Source organism: Homo sapiens, chromosome 18 (genome assembly GCF_000001405.40).
Source record: "Homo sapiens chromosome 18, GRCh38.p14 Primary Assembly".
Lineage (NCBI taxonomy): Eukaryota > Metazoa > Chordata > Mammalia > Primates > Hominidae > Homo > Homo sapiens.
The window spans coordinates 34,011,203-34,032,445 of record NC_000018.10 but is presented as its reverse complement, the minus strand read 5'-3'; the positions used below and the strand labels follow the sequence as shown (position 1 = coordinate 34,032,445).

Genomic DNA, 21,243 nt, shown 5'->3' with positions numbered 1-21,243 from the left:
TTGCCTCCAGAGTCTGTGCTCTGGGATGGGAGAAGTTGGGCAACACTGGGCCAGGTGAGCTCATCTTCAGGCCTCCTGATGGTGTGTGTGGGTGTCAGCATGGTAGGCAGGGGTGGGGTGATCCCCAGGCCACCATCAGAATGCTCAGGTTGTGGGCAGCAGTGGTTATGCTGCAGCCCTGCTACTGGATAGGGTGGTGCTACCTTCCGTGGCAGCAGCCTAGCCTGGTGGCTGGGGAATGTGCACACCACTTGCACCCAAGCTTTAGTAGAATTCATACCTAAGACCTGCTGTGGTAGCTGGCTTCTTGCTTGCACTTTCTTTGTGCTTTCACCTTAGACGCAGTAATATTTGGTGGTTGCTCACATCTAAGCCCCAGAGGCAAGAGCCAGGGCTTGTCTAGCACCTCAGCTGCAGCACCACTAGTCCCCGGAAGAGTGCAGTGTGTTGCCACTGGCACTCGAAAATGGCAGCTTGTTGTAGCTGCTTAGATCTCCAGGTGTTTTTTGGGACCCACTGTGAGCCCTCTCTCTGGGGCAGTGCCATTGCAAGGTCTCCCAGCAGCTCCCTTTGTTGGTTTCAGGACCTATGAAGGGTGAAGAGGCTTTCCTGTGGCTTGGATTGCCACACTCCATGTTGGAAATGTGGACTGTTGAGGGTTTCTCACTTACTCTTTCCTTGTATTGAGGAGTCTCTCTTGGCATCTGACACCCAGTTGATTTCAGGTGAGCAGATGCCTCTCTTCCTTCTACTTTAGGTAGTTCCTGTCACTTTCATATTGAATTTTAGTGTTTTCTCTTGGATAATCATCTTTTGAAAGTATAAAATATCTACTCACTATTTTGTTTCTTCTTAGTGAAGGAGGCATATATGAAATGCCTCTAGGCAACCATCTTGAAGCTCCTCTACAAATTTTTAATGAGGGTCTATCAAATCAATAAGAAGTTAGTGGATTATTGCTGGTGACAACTGCTGGTACATATCAGTGACAAGATATGTACAGGACTTGGAAACAAGCAATGATATATCTGTTGAATCTAATAATAAATGGGCTTGGATTTTACATGTCTTTTCTTTACATTTCATGTTTAAAGTTGTTGCTTTTGTTTTGTTTTGCTTTACAAATTGGTTGTCCATGATAAATTAGAAACACAGGACTGGAGTCTTCATCGCTGAGAGTTTGAGAAGCACTGCAGTAGGGGACTAGCACTGCGCTAGATACAACAGAGAACAAAGACGGACATAGCCTGTTCTCTCAGAGCTTGAGTCCTGGGAGACACCCGGATATTAATCAAATAACAATTCTCCAGTGATTTTGTTATTCAAACTGAGATAAGTGCCCTTCCTGAACTACTCTTCTCCTCTCTCCATCCCTTCCCTTTTATTTTCTCATCCATTCAGCCCCCTTGTGATTCCCTATCCTGCCACCTCTTTACCCATTCATCTCTCCTCTCCCTCCCTCTCCCCACCATGACTTGTTCTCCCTATTGTCAACCTTAATCTTCTATTTTTTTACATATTTTGATTTTTATATCTGAAAAACTTTATCAATTTAAGCAATAGAGTAAATAATCATCTTTTTAAATTTTATTTTTAATTGACAAATAATAATTGCACTTATTTACGGGGTACACAGTGATGTTTTTACATATATAGTATATGTAGAGTAGATCAGAGTAATTAGTATATCCATTACCTAAAGCATTTATTATTTCTTGGTGTTGAGAACATTCAATATGCTCCTTCTAGCTATTATTTGAAACTATATATTATTATTAACTACAGTAATCCAAAGTGGTACAGAAAACTGGAACTTATTTCTCCTATCTAGCTGTAATTTTGTATCCATTAACACATGTCTCTCCTATCAACAAATACAAAACAATTTCAATATTCCAATTTTTGAAGATTATTATATTCTCACTTTGATTACCAAAGAGTATATGCCTATATCCCTTTTCCTTTGTCCCTTCCTCCTTTCCTTCCTTTCTTCCATCCTTCTATTGAGGAATTTACTTAGAATCTCTTGAGCCCTTGCTATGTGGTGAAGATTAGGCCTTTTGTCCCACTATATGCATGACCCTGTTTCCTCTCCATACCCCCAGAAGAAAAAATAAGCAAAAGAAATAAGAATTTGAATTCAGGATTCTTTGAATATTTAACCTAGTTATGCTCTGTCTTAGGATGCAGTTTCTTTGCATGTATCCTTTAAAAATGAGTAGAGATTAACATTTATGGCTTTTGAAAATTATTAAGAATATCAAATATAATAGGCATTGCTCCTTTTTCTAGAAGCCCAAAAATATAATCAAAGTGGAATTTTATTTAGATCATTACTTTACTTTGACTTTGAGATAGGACTCATTATATAAATGAAGAAACAGTTTATTTTCTGAAGCACAGAATCACTGAATTATAGTACATTTCCCACTACTTAATAACATTTGTAAGTAATAGCTGAAGTGATTTGTATGTGAAAATTTGTGGAACTTTTTCCTGGTTTAATTTACTACTTTATTTTAGATTTTTGTCACTATATTTATTATTGAAAATTGGTTATTATGTTGTGTTGGTTGTATAAAATAGTACTTTAAAGAAAAATTATTTGAATAGAATTTTTAAAATCTCACCTCTTGGCTTTGTATTATCTAGAAAATAATGCTCAATCCACACTACAAAGCGTCTAAACATTTTATCAGAAAACTAGAGATACAGAGCATAGTATCCAATAAACAGAAAGTTTCTGTGCCCTCAGAGATGTTCATGTATGGCATGGTTTCCTCGCATGGCAGGTGTTCGCAGTATCACCAGAGAATTGGGAGACATAAGCTCATAGCCTGGAAAGGTACATGGTGGAGAGAAAAGGCCACAGATTATGGAGTCAGCTGCTCCTGAGTGTTAAGTGGGCTTTGGCACATAGATCATCTGGAGAAAGCCATTCAATCAGGAGCCAAGGATATGCCCCTGTGACATTAGGTAACCTGGGCTTGCTTTGAGGATTGATAAATTAGTACCCCAGTATCATTTTTAATTACTCTTTAGTGGCACCTAGTATCTACTAATTAAATAGTAAAATTTTTATGTGTGTGGGCTACTTCAAAAAATCAGGGCACAAGGGTGTCAATTTTTTTAAGAATGATGTGTCCCAATAAGGGAGACAGTGATTTAAGGGACCCAAGACTAGAATGTGCAGAACAGCTAGGCCATAAATAAACCTCACTGAGTTTCATACTGAGATATCATATAGTTTATTGTCTAAACCAGGATATATTTGAGATCCAAAGGGGGGCATGATTAGTAATTGTACTGAGAGAATAACTGTACACCAAGACTGTGTGAGGTAGACCCTACACAGTTCCCTTATCTTTTCTGTTTCTACGTGTCTCCCTACTTGGCTTTCTCTGATGAATTTGGCTCAAGAGATTCTAAGTAAATTGCTCAATAGAAGGATGGAAAAAGGAAGGAAAGGAGGAAGGGACAAAGGAAAAAGGGATATAGACATATACTCTTTGGTAATCAAAGAGAGAATATAATACTCTTCAAAAATTGGAATATTGAAATAGTTTTGTATTCATCATGGACCCCTGTAACTTCTCCAGCTCAATGCTCCCCTACCACTTTTACTTCTGCTGCAGCTACTAACGAAGTTAGTGGTTTCAACTTTTCAAATTTTACCATGCAAATGAATCTTCTGGGAGTCTGGTTAAAATGCAGATTCTGATTTAGTAGGTCTGGGATAAAGTCTCTGATTCTGTATTTCTAAATTCACTGGTGGTTTTGATGTGGTCATTGGCCCTTAAGAAGAAAGTGTTAGTTCAAATTCCAAGAGATGAAATCCTTTGGCCTAATTCATTTTTCCGGTCTGGCTGCATTGGCTGTGGGTTTGACTTGTGGTTTCATTGCCCTTTGGTCAGGCGCCTGCCTTGGCAGTTTCAGCCTGGGCTAGTTGTGTGGCTATCAATGCAGTAGGCTGTTGGCATGTTGATTTGTACTAGAAGGGAGCATAGAAATGAGATGTGTACAACCAAATGATATATTCAATGTAATTCATTGTTCTGTTTAGTTTAGTTGCATGGATAACCACTAAATAAGGATCCTGGAAATGTGCCATCAGCAGTGAACACTCTGAATCAGGTGCTGCAAAGCTCAGTAAATGTTCCCTGTTTGGCTTAAGTAAAGAAACAAGGATTTTCAAAATAGAATCTACTGCGCTTTATCCAAGGAAAGATTTTATAGATGGCCATGCTTATGTGACATTGGTGTAGCAGCATAAAACATGGAATGGGGTTGGGGGGGTACTATGACCAGCTCTTGATTAATTAGTAGTAATCACATTGTGAGAGCTCTTAATTTGGCATTATTCAAAGAGTTTAAATTGATACAGTTAGTACAGTAACTTAGATTAGTTTTTCCTAATGGTCATCCAAGACAGATTTTTAAATTTTGATTTGATGAGAACTCAATGTTTTATTCTGACAGAAACAGTTTAAATGAAAATGAATATATATACCACTACTATAAAAAGGATACTCATTATCTGGGAATCCTTTCTATTCTTAGTTGTGTTTTTTTCCTCAAATCAGTCTGACATTACTTCTTGGCTATCCTCTTACTATGACAAAAATAAAATATCCACAAAAACAAAATGTTTTCTCTTCTTCTGTTGATTTTTTAAAATTATATTTTCATTTGGCGATTTGCTGTATGTACTGCTTTACACAAAGAACTGTTAAAGTAAGGTCCTCACTACCTATGACCATTTGGGAAAATATGACTTACATCCATGAAAAAATTAGTGTATAATACAATATAAAAGTTTTGGGCTATGAAAATCATGAGTTTAGAAAATAGAATAAAGGTGGTTTAGAGTCATTAATTTATAGCTTTATGCATTTGCTGAATATCTACTATACACAAAGCATAATGCTGGCTTCAAGGCATACAGCAGTGAAGAAAAGCCTAGCCCCTGTCCTCCACCTATTTGTAATTTAGTTGATTTGCTCCTCAGAGGAAGAGGTGTTCTCCTTGGAGGGTTGTTTCTCCTACTTCAGTACCTCCAGACATTAACCCCCAACAATTATCACTTAATTTTTGATAATTCCCAGGATATTTATTGCTAATCCCATGATTCCTGACCCCAACACCCTTTACCAAATACCTATTCTCCAACCCACATGAGAGCTCCCTACTACTGAGCTTGTTCCAAACCACCGTCATCATCACCTTTCTCTCATCATCTTTCTCCTCTCTATCCTCCTCTCTGTTCTTTGCTGCTGAGTTTACTTTCTTTATATTCTACTATTTCTATAATCCAACTCTTTCTAAAGCCTGCCTTCACTGAGAGACAATATAACATAGAGAAAAGAATGTAGAATGCGACACATGTCATTAAGTGCTAGTGTTGCCATTAATTCCTCATAAATCTAAAATTAATTCATTTTCTTCCCCTACATAACATAGCATCTGTCTTTTTCAGGCTCCTCTCCTCAGAATACCCAAACATGTGTTTCCTGCTGAGATATACTAGTAGAATTTAGATGGAAGTTTATTTTGGAATTAGGAAACCAGTTTCTAATACTATGTTTGTCAACAAAACTTTTATTGATTTTTCATTCTTTAAGATGTCGATAAACTCCCTTAATACCACTGTTACTGACGGTAATTAATTTCAATGCAAGAGAGAGAAACAGTAAAGGGAACTGGGTGAAATTATCTTGTATATCAAATAATGAATTTATATTATTTAAAAAATTACAAAATATCGTTTATAATAATATCAAAGTTTTTAGACAAAAGTCTTGAGGCTAAAGGAAAAGAAATTATATCAGTTGGGATTGGGATCCATCTGGAAAATGGAGCCCATTCCATGACATCCATTAGGAAAATTTAACACTAGGCACTATTTACAGTGGTGTTTGAAGAGCTAAAAAGCCAAGCAGGGGTTAGTGAAGCAACTCTGGAATTGATAACAGAAAGAGGCGGCTCCCATAGCTAGCAGTGGAAGGGCCAGGGAATAGCTGATATTACTAGAGCTCAAGCCCAGAGCTCCTACATGGGAATCAGATTCACAAAAGAGGCTTCTTAGCAGGAACTAGGGCATAGAGGATATACTCCCCATGCTGGAGATGGAGAGACTGCCTGAACCAGAGAGGGTGTGTGCATGGGGAGGGAGGAGGGCATAACCAGGCATTCTCTCTTTGTCCAATTATCCATCTCTTCCAGTGTCTCTCATTGTCTAAACCCAGTCATAAGGCACTAGGCAAGAAAACCTAGGAAATAAAATTTGCAATAGAAGGAGAACAGATTTGAGAACAAAACAGCCAATGACCATTGTGTTAGATAAAGGAGCAGGTATTGTGGATCCTTACAGAATAATTATTTTAGGATGTATTTGTTCTGTAAATCCAGGAAGAGGTTCATAGCTCAGGCTTCTTGCTGTCTCAGAATATTGGCAATAAGAAATTCAGCTACATCAATGAGTAGTCCTGGCTCACCCATTACCATAGGGAGAAGAACTGTTGAAGGGCAGGGGTAGGAGAGTTTAGGAGAATACCTAAAGGAGTATACATTCTAATCATTCACCTCTAAGTTACTTTAAAAACATGGGTACTTAACAGGTCTAGTATGATCACAGGGTTTCTCTCTCCGCACAAACTCCCAAAACACAATACACTTCACCTGCTTGCTAATGGCTGAAAATACCAAGAGAAAAAGCCTTTCATTCTGCAATTAGAGATAAAAGGTTTAAATTACAACTGCCTAGTTGAAGTAACATTTTTCTGTGAGGGAATTTCAGATAAAGGATAATCAATCAATCAATCTGTCAATCCATTACTCAGTAAAATGACATACATAGAGCCAGTGTGCACACAAATAGCTGGAGAATTAGTGATCAAGAGGGGAAAGAGAACATGCAGGACCCAGAGGACACACTTTGATGGTTTTGACAATTCTTCCCAGGGTGATACTCTTTACCTGCTATGTGAGCAAAACTGATAGTGACTTCAGCACATGTGAATGCTTATATGATAGGCAGCTCTACTTTAGAAGGGGAGTAAAGATTCTTGATTTTCCAAACATACACTTGACCCAGGTAAAGGCCTTTTCTTCCAGGGGTTTGTTAACCAAGGTAATTAAGTTTATCCTTTTCCCCCAGATAAGGTTTATAGCTCCTTAGTTACACATTTACCTTTAATTCTTTGGGCAAGATCATATCCTTTCATGAGTCTTTTTAAAAAATGGGACCATTCTGGCAGTAAGTATTTTTGTTTATTAGTTTTGATAAAGGGAAAGAATATTTGGCTTTTGGCTTCTTTTTCTGAAATTTTTCCAGATTTTTATAAAATGAGATTAAAATATCCTCAGATTCAGCCTTACTGAACCCAGAATTGAGGGCTGTTAGTCATCTTTAGTTCTGTTGCTATCCACAGTTGCCTCCTTTAATTGCGTATTCTACTGGGTAGTTGTTGGATATCATCTACATTAATTTCTCACATATGGCTCCTAAGCACTTATATGAGAAATGCTTCTAGATTCCCTGACCTCAACCAAAATAAATTAAACCAAGATTTCTAGCCTTTATTGTGTTAGAGGTTTTAGTGCCCACATGGATCCTACAGATACATATTTTTAATCATCTCCCCCAGGAAATTCCAAAGCAATTAAAGTTTGAGAACTACTAATACACATCTATTATTCGAAATATACTATGTATATTATTCCAGTATAGTATTCCAGTATACTGTGCTGGAAAGTGCTACCAAGGATTCATTCAGCCTACATTACCTGCTTTGTGTTGCAGAGTAAAGGCAGTTATGGTGTAAGATTTAAGGTATGGCCTAGTGATAGATAAGCTTCCTTTGTTGTTGTTGTTGTTGTTTGTTTTGTTTTGAGCCTGGGAAAAGACAGAGCAGAGACCACAAGGGGTAAAGGAGAGTTGCACTTAAACTATTTTGCAATTAGATTTCAAAGGAATTTTTAATTTTTTTTCTTTTTTGGATATGAAGGTACTAATCTTTTCAGCAAGGCTATTTACATCTATATTTTGGACCTAATACTTAGTTTTACGGTAAGATATGAAAGAGAAGTTTTCTAAGGGGGGCATCAAAGGACTAGAGGAGGAAAATTGTGGTGAATTTGGGGAAAACAATAAAATCTTTGTGGACCCTGTGAGCATCTGACCTGAATTTTGGGACTAAATTTCCAAGTACTAATGTTAAAATGAGGATTTTATATATATATATATATATATTTTTTTTTTTTTTCCTGTTTATTTTGCCTAAGGCACTTGGCCTAAAGGACATGATGCTGAGCTACTGAAAGTAACTGAATAAGAAAGTAGGTCAGGTACTTTGGGAGATTACATATACACACACACACTTAAATACACACACAGGTACACATATACATTAACATAATATTTTAGGCCAATTCTCTTCATACAGAGAGAGCTAATTGTTGAATATGATGCTGATGAAACCACTTTTCTACAAAATGCTGGTGGGATAACTTAACAGTATTTCTAGGGTCTCTACTAATTCATGGAGGGAATGGGGAGTAGCAAAAGAGAAACAATAAAATGAATAATCTGCCATTTACTGTGTTACTAGACCTTCTAGACAAGAAGGAGTCTCATCTGTGCTCGCAGAGATAGCACAATAATTCTCCAACACTAAATCCATCCCATCAAAAGTAGCCACAGAACAAGTTAACTCCCGACGTCCAACTGCCCTCCTGATGTCACTAGATTCCACACTTCCTTGTCATCACATTCCACATTCTCCTCTGTTGCTAGGTACCCTGGGCACTCTTATTTTCCAAAGCTCCAGGTGCTGTTTTCCTTGGGACTCATATACAGAGTCTTTGGTTCAAATGCTATGGTACCCAGGCTGAAACCTTGAGAGAAGAACCACCGCCTTGGCCCAGTGAACCTGAAGGCCATACCCACAGACCTAAATACTGCACCTTCTGTGTAGCAGCTACTCAGGATGGACCAAACTATGTTGGGTAAGGAAGCAGATTACCCCTTTAAAGTGATGACCTGATATGAATTGGTTACAGGAGTCTGAGATCCGCGATTTTAAATTCTTAAAAAGTATCTTTTAGGGAGAGAGGGAAAGAGAATAAAAATGGTTAACATGATTACATGAAACTCAGCAATAGAAAATTCTTAATTTGTCCTCAGTTTAATATCTGCTTACTGTTCTATATGGTATTTTTAAAATAAAGACATCAAAAACTTTGTTTTAAATTTGGATTTATAGGACAGTGTTGTGAGACATTATTGTTTTTTACCATTTAAATTGCAAAATATGTGAGTATGTATATTTGATACAAATGAGTAAATCATGTATTTGTTTTTCTTAAAACATACTGATTTACTCAGGAATGAAATATGTAACGCTGTTGAATTTAGTTACCTTGGTAACATCTGGAGTGAACTACTCCATCTAAAAATATTTTCTACCTTATTGTTTATACTTTTTATTGATATAAAAACAAGGCACTTATTAAAGCCTTTCCTGACAAATAATAATGTTTACCTTACCTGAAAAATAAATGAATGATATACCATTTATTAGATATACATAATGATTTCAGATTGAAGAAACAGATGTAGGATGTTTAGTTTTTAACCAAGATAGATATTGGATTTGTCTTATGCTAACGTAGATTTTATTTTAAAATATAATATATACTTAGGGTTATTTAACCTAATAACATATTGACAAAGCTTTCATACATTAAATGTTACTATATTTTTTAAAGGATTCTAGAACACAAATGTTAAATCACTTTTTTTCATGAATTAAAAATTGGAGTTGAATATTTTCATTGTGCTCTTCTTTGGACTTTTGTGGGAAATAATAAAGTAATAAAAATCATCTTCATAATTTAGCGTAAGAATTTGAATTGGCATAAAAAGAACATGCACACATTTATCTAAATTACTTATATAAGTCATCCCCTTAATTCTGCATTTCAGAAACCCTAGACATTTCATGTTAAAATAATATTTTGAATCCCTGGATTAATACCTATGGAAAGTACCATGTAATAAAAAATGTCATATTATTTATGGCCAGTTTCCTAAATTTTCCTATGTATTTTTTCTTTCCACATCAATTCTTTCTTTGATGGGTACATAAAAAGTAATTTACTAGAATTTTGCCATTTGAACATATTTTAACATTTTTCACAGGGTAGTCTTAGAAAACTGTTTAAAAATATTATTTCAGGCCAGGCGTGAAATAATATTATTTCATTACAAATTAAACTTAAACCTAATGTGCTTTGTTTTTATATTTTTTATTTTATTTTATTTATTTATTTATTTTTTTTGAGATGCAGTTTCGCTCTTGTTGCCCAGGCTGGAGTGCAATGGCGCGATTTCAGCTCACTGCAACCTCTGCCTCCCAGGTTCAAGCGATTCTCCTGCCTCAGCCTCCCGAGTAGCTGAGATTACAGGCACATGCCACCATGCCCGGCGAATTTTTGTATTTTAAGTAGAGACGGGGGTTTCACCATGTTGGCCAGGCTGGTCTCAAACTCCTGACCTCAGGTGATCCACCCACCTCGGCCTCCCAAAGTGCATGAGCCACCGCGCCCAGCCTGTTTTTTAATTTTTTACTACAGATCTGGCTTCATCTTAGACTCTTGCCTATTCCATTACTACTAGTCGTACCAGTTCTATTCTCACGATTTTTCTAATTGTCTCCTCTTTTTCTGCATTGCCACTGCTTCAGAAGTTTGAGCTTTTAAATATGCCAAATTAGATGACTTCTAAATCTCTTAACTGGTCTCCCCAACTTCCATTTTGCCCCTTCATACCATTCTCCTCATCAGAGTCAGAATAGTCTATTTGAAATATAACTTTTTCCATGTCACTTCCCACAATAAATTAAAACTGTTATTTGCTCCCAGAATAAAATCCAAGTTCTTTGATAAACAAAATGCTTTTCTTGGTATTCTCTTTTTTTCTTCTGTTTATCTTTTCCCATTCTCTTTTCTTGCACTCCAGACTACTCTTACTTCTCACTTGCCCTGCATATGCTGACCTCTGTGACTTTGCACGTGCTGATCCCTCTATAGAGAATGCTCTTCCCCAACTTCTCCACCTGGTTAAGGCTCACTCACCTTTGAGAATTCAACTCATATCACCTTCTTTAGGAAGCCTTCTATGATGTCTTTATCCCTTGTATTAGATCACAGCCTTCTTGCTCTGCATTTTAATAGCATGTTTGTTTTTCTGTCTCTCTTAATTATCTGTGACCTTGTTGAAGACAGAGTCTTTACAGGCCAAATACTTAACCCCATATTGGTCAGAGTAAGCACTTAACAAATGTTAGTGAATAAATGAAGGAACATGTGAGTTATATCACTCTTTCAGAATTTGAATATAATTCCCATGAATGTAATTGATTAGAAAACATTAACTATTTCATTACATCCCTCAAAAAAACATACTTGATAACATTCAGAAAATTAAAAATCACAAGTATTGAATAATATTTCTTTTGCTCAGCCATATTTATATGATTTCACTACTAGCTTTTAACTAAATGAAACAATTTAATACCTTTTCCATCATAATTTTTAAAAATCAGTAGCAAATTTTTATCATATAAGATAAAATTAAGAAAAATAGAATGTTATTTCATGTAATCTTTGTCTATGTGTTTTTTTTTAACAAAATTGGGATCATACCAACCACACTCTTTTGTAGCTAGATTTTTGTGTTTAGTACTTCATGACTCACATCCCCATATCTTAAAATGCAATATTGAATAACTACATAATAATCTAACAATTTCAACATTTATTTAAATAATCTATTTGTGGTAATTTAGGTCATTTCTAATTTTTTGCTATTATGAACAACACTGGTATAAATGTTTACCTACAAAGAGATACACACAATGATTAAACTTCTTAGGTATTAAACTCCCAGAAGTGTAATGACTGGAACAAAGTTTATGAGGACTTTTAATGCTTTAGATGCATCTTAAACAGTCATTCAGCTAATACTGATGCACATTCCACCAGCAGGATAAATGATGCTTTTTATCAGAGAATTTTTACCAAATCTAGATATTCTCACTGGAAAAACAAAAACAATTTGCAAAATAATTGGTAGTTATTTAATTCTCTTTGTTTTTTTTTCTTTGAGATTGCATTTGAGATTGAACTGTTCTCTCAATTCTGTTTTCTTCTTCCTGTTTTATTTCACTTATTGTGCCTAAATGTGCTGTGTTAGCCCATTTGCGTTGCTATAAAGGAATACCTGAGACTGGGTAATTTATAAAGAAAAAAGGATTATTTGGGTTACAGCCCTGCAGACTGTACATGAAGCATAGTGCCAGCATCTACTCCTGGTGAGGGCTTCTGGAAGCTTATAATCATGGTGGAAGATGTAGGGGAGCCAGTTTGTCTCATGGTGAGAGAGGGAGCAAGAGAGAGAGAGAAGAGGTGCCAGGCTCTTTTTAAACAACTAGCTCTCCTATGAACTCCCAGAGCAAGAACTCACTCATTACCATGGGGATGGCACCAAGCCATTCATGAAAAATCCACCCTCATGACCCAAACACCTGCCACTAGACCCCACTATGGACATTGGAGGTCACATTTTAATGTGAGATTTAGTGAGGACAAAACATTCAAACCTTATCATGTGCCTACTAGATTAAAAATAACAATAACTGCTTTACAAGCTTATTGCTGAGGATGAATTACATATTGTATGTAAAATGCCATTCATATAATGGGAGCTCAATAAATGCTAGTTGAAGTAGACTCTGAATAGCATATTAATTAAAATCAAAATATAACTTTTCCTTTCCAACAGATGATTCTGCTGCAGAGAGCTTTAATGGCAATGAGACTCTGGGGCACAGTTCAATTGCTTCAGGGGGAACACACAGCAGGGAGATGGGAGACTCCAACAGTGATGGCAAAACTGGGCTGGAGCAAGATGAACAGCCACTGAACCTGAGTGACAGTCCCCTCTCTGCGCAGCTAACTTCGGAATACAGAATAGATGATCACAACAGTAATGGGAAAAACAAGTATAAGAATCTTCTAATTTCTGACCTCAAGATGGAACGAGAGGCGAGAGAAAATGGAAGCAAGGTATGATCACATTACAATTTCCAGAATTTTTGAGTTGGTCATGAAGGTCACAAAAAATACCTATGCATATAGCAGATAAACATTATTGTTAATAAAAATATTATAAACAAATCCAATAAGAGGATACCAAGAAACTTATCACCAAGCATATTGTGTGTTTATAACATATGATTTCAGGAATAATAGCAAAATGAATCGTGTCTCAAAGCTGTGGGTGTTTTTAGATCCGGAGAATCACTTGAGTTAATGTTTCTCATGTATATAATCTATTTGTATGAATCTCTCTGGGAATTTGTTGAGCTCAGATGTGACAGTTTCAGTCTCGGTACACAATTTTCTACTATAAAAGGATCACTATCTAGTTTCTCCTAGATGGATAGGTGTAAGTAAAGATAAAGTTTCAATTAAATTCTTCAGTTTGCTTTGGAGACCTGGGGACTTTGATCAGTAATTTTCTTTGTGGACACTAAATAACTGTTAAGTGTGAGGGTCCTGGATGAAGTTTGTGGATTAATTATTTTAAGAAATGATTTATCATAAATTATATCATACAAAAGACAAAAACATATTTCAGACATATCTAAATGTTTAGATTCTTTATATTAATATTAGAATAAAGTACAACCCTCTCCCATTCCCAGCTGACTTTTTTTTAATTAAGCTTAAACTTCTGCTAGTTTGAGATAACACATGCTGGTGACTTTGCTCTATGATTTTTGAAGGTGTACTTTGGAACATATGAGGGTTTTTATGGAATATACCTTTTGAGTGCCTTCCCCAGCCCTTACCTCTAAGTCAGAGTTGTAGAACTTGTTTTTTGACATAGATCCTTAAAGCAAAATGTCTTAATCTGGATTAATTTCTGAATTTGCTAAGGCATTATGCTTCCTAAATTGGCTCTATTTAAATCTTCTGGCTTGCCTGGGGGTGTGTTGTTTTATCCTCTTTTAAGCAAGTCACTGGACATTAGCCGACACCTAAGCACTCCTGCCTGAGGGAGGCTGCTACAACTTTTGCTGTGGCAAATGTTCAAATATCCTCCTCAGTGGTTTAAAGCCAAATTACATAAACACAAATGATTTTATATTTGATGACATGATCTGATTCACTGTGCACTGTGTTACATTTTACAGAACAAAATAACTCCTAAGTTTCCCTGCCCTCCACGTAAACCTGTCTTTATGAAGTTTAAATAATCGTGAAATGCTCTTTCTATGCTATGTGTCTATTAAATTTTTTTCTAAAATTATTCGATAGTTTGCTCTTCTTTTTTTTATTCCCTTATTCAGTATTACTCTGGGAACGATGCTTATTAAAACATATTCTTGCACATATTAGACAGAATGAAGTGACTTTTCTACCTCTGTTACAATGGAGTTGAGAAGCACAGATGGTTTGGGCTGCTTGTGAGGGTTAAGATGATAAATGAGCCTAGAAGAGAAGAAGATACCCCTGATGCACTTAATAATTTATGGCTTAGTAAATGAAGAATGCTTCCCACAGCCAACTGAGGAATAGCCAAAGACGCAGAAGAAAAATCAGAAGGGTGTAATGTATGAAAGCTAAGCAAAGTCCACCTTTGAAGGAGAGTGTAGGCAGCTCCAATGGACAATGTTGAGAAATCAAATAAGATGAAGATAGAAAATAGTTAAATTTGTGAGAGAAGTTTTGATAGCACATTGGGAAAAGAATCAAGAGATATTATTTTTATTATTGTCTTCAAAAAGAACATAGTAAATACTTAGCACCTATGAAGGACAAATACATCTAGAGATATAAACGGCAGGAGTACTAGAGCTAATAATATCATATCATCTATTGAAAATTTGCTAAAAGTAAATTTTAGATGTTCTTACCACATGGAAGTGATGGCTCTGTTAAGTTGCTTACCTGGAGTAATCATTTCACTATGGATAGGTATACAAAACATCATGTTGTACATCTTAAATTTATGCAATTAAAAATACTTGGCATACTTGCAGCAATGGAGTAGGTAGCAGAGACAACTCAGAAATAACAGTCTTTATTCACAAGGCTCTTGATACTTAATTTTGAGAAAGAGGATACACATACATAGAAAAGTTTCTTAGAACAAGTACAGACAATACTTATTCTCGTATTAAAACAGTAAGAGTTTAAGTAAGAAAATGCTATTTGAAGTAAGAGTCAAAATAGGTTTCCTAGAGGAACTGAGGCTTGAACTTTGAAGGAAATATAAGATTACCATTTTATTTCTTTCAGAAGGGGTCTCTTGCTAGACACTATGAAGGGCCTGGAATGCAGATAGGGAAGATGACTTGGTCTCAGGCTAGGGAATCATTGTCCATTCTGACCTCAGTATGATTTTATCACTTCCTCATGGCATTGAGGAAGAACATGACATCCTTTTGCAGGATAAACTAGTTGCCACCAATTAATTTATTCTCCAAATATTTACTAAAGGATTCCTACATGCAAGTCACTGTTGTAGGAAGCAAAAATATGTAAATGAGAAGAGCAAGATTCCTGCCCTTTAAAAGCTCATGGTCTAACAGTGGGGACAAACTTGTGGTTACAGTCTGATTCTGTAAGTGATATGAGGGACATATGGTCAGGAGGGTGAAATGAAAGAACAGAGGAAGGGTGCTGAGGGACTGTAATGATTCTTCAGGAAAACTCTAAAGAGAGATTGATGCCAGAGGTGAGTGTGGAATGGCAAGTAGGAGTTATTCTGATTATGTATGGGAGAGGGGTAAGCATGTTTTAAGGCACAGAGCCATGAGAGAGCGTACCTGGCATGGGTATTTGCAAGGAGCTTAGCATGGCTGCAGCAGAGAACAAGTGTGAAGGGATGAAGTATAAAGCGGCTCCACCAGTAAATGTAGGTCATTTTAAGGACTTCGGATTGTCTAATAGAAAGAGCTTAGTGGTCAGCTTAGAATTTTAGAAAGCCTGTGGTCAGCTTGGAATTTTATAAAAATTATTCTGGCAACGTTTTGGTGAATGAATAGGATAGGCACTAGAAAAAAGTAATGAGAGAATGCCGGTTAGAGAGCTATTGTGGCAATCCAGGAGGAAAATATTGACAGTTGGAATCAAATAACTGACAATGAGAAAGAAAAGCAGAGATATAGTACAAAAAATTACTGAACATGTTATTTTTGTTCTTTTGACATTGTATTTGCAGGACTACCTATCTAACCTCCATAGGTTGTATTAATATATTGCCAAACTCCTGGGAGTGCCATTCACATAGCCTACAATATGAATAGCATATTTACCTTTCTATATCCCATTAATGTGAACATTCTGTGAATATAAGAATGATGTTTACCTTGTCCACTGCAGTATGCCTTACACCTGGCTTACTATCTCGTCCATAGATGTTTCTCAATACTTTGAGGAAATATACAAAGGTTTATTGAATATGGAAAGCAAAGCATAGAGGAACATTCTAGAATGACTCCAAGATTTTTGGCTTTGTTGCCTAAGTGGATGACGAATCCGTTTACTAAGATTCAGAATGAGAAACATTTGAAGAAGCAGGTTTTGACGTGTAGTTTACGGTGCACATGCAGTGTCCATTGGACATATTTAATAGGCATTCGGGGGACATGTGTCAGCTCTGAAGAAAGGTACAGGATGGAGAGAGAGAGACATTTTAAAGATTTCAGAGCAAAAGTGCTGCTTGAAGCTGTGGTGGTTGATAAGATCACCTTGGGAGAGCATAGAATGAGGAGAGAGTTGAAATATGTCACCTCGCAGAATATCAATCCATTAGGAACAAGTGATATAAAAGGAATTTGTGGAGAAACATATACCCAAGGAGAAAATGAAAGTAACTAGATAAGAAGGGGATATTTTAGAAGCCAAAATGTGGAGCATTTCAATATTGATATAAATTGTTAAACTAAGCGATCCTTAGATGAAGTGACATTGGCCTGAACCTGAACATTGGTTAGGAGAGTTAGTGCTCAGAGGTGGATTCAAATCACATGGCAGAAGAAACACTAACAGAATTAGTGGGAAATTTGATTGAAGACAGTTATAGAGGCTGAGATAGGAAAGCAGAATCATTTTAATTGCGAAGGAGACTGTGTCTGGAATTTCACTTTAGAGATTCTTCCTGCAATCTTAATCCAAATGTAGAGTGCTCTAGGATTCCCGCATCTGGATCAATACTTGCTTTACCCCAAGGCTATGAAGTGAACTTCATAGTAAAGTTCTGTTCAATCTGTGCAATCTTTTGTAGTCCTCAGGATTGTTCCATCACTTCTGTGTGACCTTTTGAAGTGACACTACATTTCTTCTTCCTTGGAGGGCTATAAAAGCTTAATTATATAGAATATGTGAAAAGCTTAGATTCCAGTGAGTTTAATATTGACCTGTTTCACAATTTTATTGTGAATAAAATCAAACAAAAATGATTATAAAGCATTGAAAAATTGAACAGTGAATAGAAGTGCTTAAAACGAATAGTTGAGTTGGACTATGTCATTTACTGATTACTTATTATTATGCAAATTAACTCACTAGACTAGCAGGGAATCACATTAACTAATCTAAGGACTAAATGTATTGCACTGAATGAAGTTAGGTGATATTTATTTTCTACTTGCTGATGGCCGCATTTTAAAAGGACAACTAATAACATTAGAGCTCCAAAGAGGGCTGAAATGATGATAAAGAGCTTGGAAAATGAGACCCATGAGGAAGTGTTAAGGGATTAGCTATATAGAAAATGAAAGGCCAATCAAACACCAATCTAGGTATAGATGTTTTAAATTATTAATCAATGAGAATAGAAAGAATTCTAATGGCAGTGAATACTTAAAAACACTGTATTATTGACTTTTTAATTTTTGTTTTCTATTTATCTTTTAGTATTTGTAACCCAGCTGCATTTTACTTTATATGGTTAAATATTCTGAAGCAATTTCCCAGAAGAATAATGTTTCCAATAAGGACTGCGGTGGGCACGTGATTATTGTTGAACAGTTTATGTGCAACTGTGGTTACTGCATATTTGGGTCTCAGTTCCCAAGACCCCTAAATCTTCACTTTATTTAGTAGTATTTTATTTTGTCCACTGTGTTTCATGTAACTTTTTTCAATTAATCTTTAATTTTTTACCAAAACTGATACTACCAGTTAGTTTATAAAATATTAATGGTAACTAACATTAATATTTGCTATATTTAATTTCATTTAAATATGATTAATGGAAGCAGCACAAGTTTCAAAATATCTCTTTAAAAAAAGAAATTGTCTTTTACAAACTAAGAGCGATGGATTGACTTCTGTAATATTATCTTTGTCTTTGTTATATGGATATTCCTGCTCATTATTGGTTCAATTTAATGATTTTTAATGTCTGGCTTTTAGGTGTTATACATTTATTTGGCCCAGGTGTTGTTTAGGGTAGAAGCAACAACATGTATTCTTATTCAGGGTAGAAACAACAATAGTAAATGTGCTTAATATGTGTGAGACACTCTCCTGAGTGCTAGACGGACAAAGTTAAAAAAAAAGAGTCTCTATCATTAAGAATTCACATTTTGGCTAGAAAAAGCAGACATATAAATGAGTGTATTATAATACAGAAATTGATTTGTGTGTGAGTCTCCTCTAGGCTTACTTATGCCTTGGAAGGTTCCTGAGTTAATTCTCATTGGTTAAATAGGAGATGGCCACTTAGCAATAGGGAATAGAGAATTCCAAACAGAGGAACATTGATGAACAGAGCACTGAGGTAAGGACTAGAAATGCTGAAGATGGAAGATGATGATTTAAGTCTGGAGACTAGAGTGTCAGACTAGGGAAGGTTTTGAATATCCTTTTGAAGCTTGGATTTTACTCTTTAGTTGACAAGGAATCACTTAAGGGTATAGGATGGAAAATAGTGTGGTCAGATTGTGTTTTGGGGTAGGAAAAATTCTGGCGTGTGTTTTACAAGATGACTTTAGGTGGCATAAGAAGGGAGAAGTCTGCTAACAGAGAATAAGACTTGCCTTAGTAAGGTGGTAGTTGGGATGGAGAGGAGGGCATAAATTTAAGAAATATATAGAAAATTAAATGGACAGAATTGGGTGTTTGATTAGATAGGTGGTGGAGAGTATAAAAGAAACTTTAGCCACAGGATAAAGGATATATCAGTTTTGATATTGGGATACTATATCAACTGTAGTAATGATGAATATTGTGTAATGCTTTCTTATTCATAACTCAAAGCAACCCAATGTAAGAAGAGCAAATACAGTTATTAGCTTTATTTAAACAAAAGGAAATAAACTCTAGTGCCATTTAAGACATTCCAGCGACATTATTAATACAATCAGATAAGTGATAAAGCCTGGTATTTAACCCAGGTCACCTGCCTCTGCAGCCCATGTAATTTTCGCTACACCCACACCTGCTGATGCTGTGTGAGACCAATCATCTCTCTGGATCATGTGGTGACTATGACAGGCAAGCTATACAGAAAGGAATAGTATCTAATACAATCAGTGGATAGCTTCTTGATAAATAGCAAATACTTGCAATGGCATTTCTTATTTTCTTATTTGAAATATTAGTTTTGCTTTTGATGTTTTAGTTACTTTATACCATGAAAAGAATGTAACAGATGCCTCTATCATAAAACTAAGCATTTCTTCAAAGTATCCTTTTATTGCTTTGGTTCATAAATGTAAATGAATGCGTAATTGAATGAGAGTGGTTCTTTTAACAGCTCTAGGGTAAATTTTGAGCTTATATTTTATTAAATACCAATTTAAAACAGCATCTTCATATTATATACATATATAAACATATGTATTTTGCATATAAACACACACACATATAAATAGTATATTCCATACTTAAAGATCACATATTCTTCAGTTCTGCTCATTACTGGATACATTTTTTTATTATGTTCTTAGTAGATTTTTTAAAAATAAAATGATACATAAGAAAGATATAATAAAGTTAATAGCTTTATAGTATATGTCATATTGCAATCTAAATTTAAATGTATACAATGCTTTTATGAATAAATACCCACATTACTAGGGATTGTAAAATCAACTATATTATATAGAATAATACAACTTTAAAATCAGGAACCACTTCATTTTACAGACGAGGAAATTGAGACCCACCCAAATGACCTAACACCCAAATCAGTGTCCTTTTGAATCATTATGCTACCATGTTTGCCATTGCATATGCTCATATTCTCTATATGTTATTGCAGGAAGATGAAGGACAGGGCCATTAATTACAAGTGCCTATGCCTACTATGCATGTTCCAGTCCATGTTGGTTCATTTCACATTTTATATCTCAGGAAAATGAAGAAGGTGAGGGGCTTCTATAATTTATGCCTTGAAAAGTGCAAGGTGAAGTTGATTTTAATTCTGCACATTCGGTGAAATGTGCATTTTGAGTTCCTTTTTAGACATATAATAGTTCATATGAGTTAGTACAAAATCTTAACTAGCCCTCCAGCTTCTGATGCCATGTATTCATAAATAATCTGGTTAGTTATAGATTGTATTTTTGACCAAAATACAAAACAAAGAAAATTGACCCGTCATTATCCTTATCTTTATTTGAGGGTTCATCAATACCTCAAAAAGAAGTTGTCTATTTTGTTTATTTTTGTATTTAATTTTTGTTTATTTGTTTATGGGCTTTCTGTTTTTTGTTTTTTATTTTTTGCTTAAGTGTGTGTGTGTGCTTGTCTTTTTCCACTTGAGTTCTATCGTTAAGAATAAGGTCAAATGCTTAAAAATATCATTCCAGTCTGTAGATGCCTTGAGAATAGTGGAGAATCTCTAAGAGAAAGAACTATATTTTAAATACTCAGAAGTGATTTATATATGTCTCAAGATAATTGCTATTACCAGGACTCCTTAAAATATTCAATATTGACCCAAATTTGGAGAAAGAATAAAAGAAGAAAAATTAATACTAGACTCATAGAGTTATAAATTCTAATTTGTTTCAATATGCTAGTTTACATTTTCATTATTAGATGAGCCTTACATTATGCACCATAAAGCAATTATCTGTAGCCTTCTTATTACTATTTATTTTATTTTTATTTAAAACTTTTAATTATTATGGCTACATAATAGGCATACATATTCAT

At 35.4% G+C, this 21,243-nt stretch overlaps 1 protein-coding gene across 33 annotated transcripts in view; it reads left to right on the top strand.

The window, feature by feature from the left end:
• The window catches only part of NOL4 (nucleolar protein 4), a 373,814-nt gene that overhangs the window by 192,468 nt on the left and 160,103 nt on the right, over positions 1–21,243 (top strand). For 30 of the 33 annotated variants that reach the window (XR_935261.4, XM_047437902.1, XM_047437901.1 and 27 more), the window contains one exon: positions 12,845–13,128. Coding sequence is in view for 32 of the 33 variants with exons in the window: in XM_047437902.1 (XP_047293858.1) it covers positions 12,845–13,128 (284 nt within the window). In the remaining variant the exon portion in view is untranslated. Of the gene's footprint in view, positions 1–8,794; positions 9,007–12,844; positions 13,129–21,243 lie in introns of those variants that run through there. The other 3 variants (NM_001384473.1, NM_001353233.1, XM_047437903.1) reach the window with 2 other exon arrangements.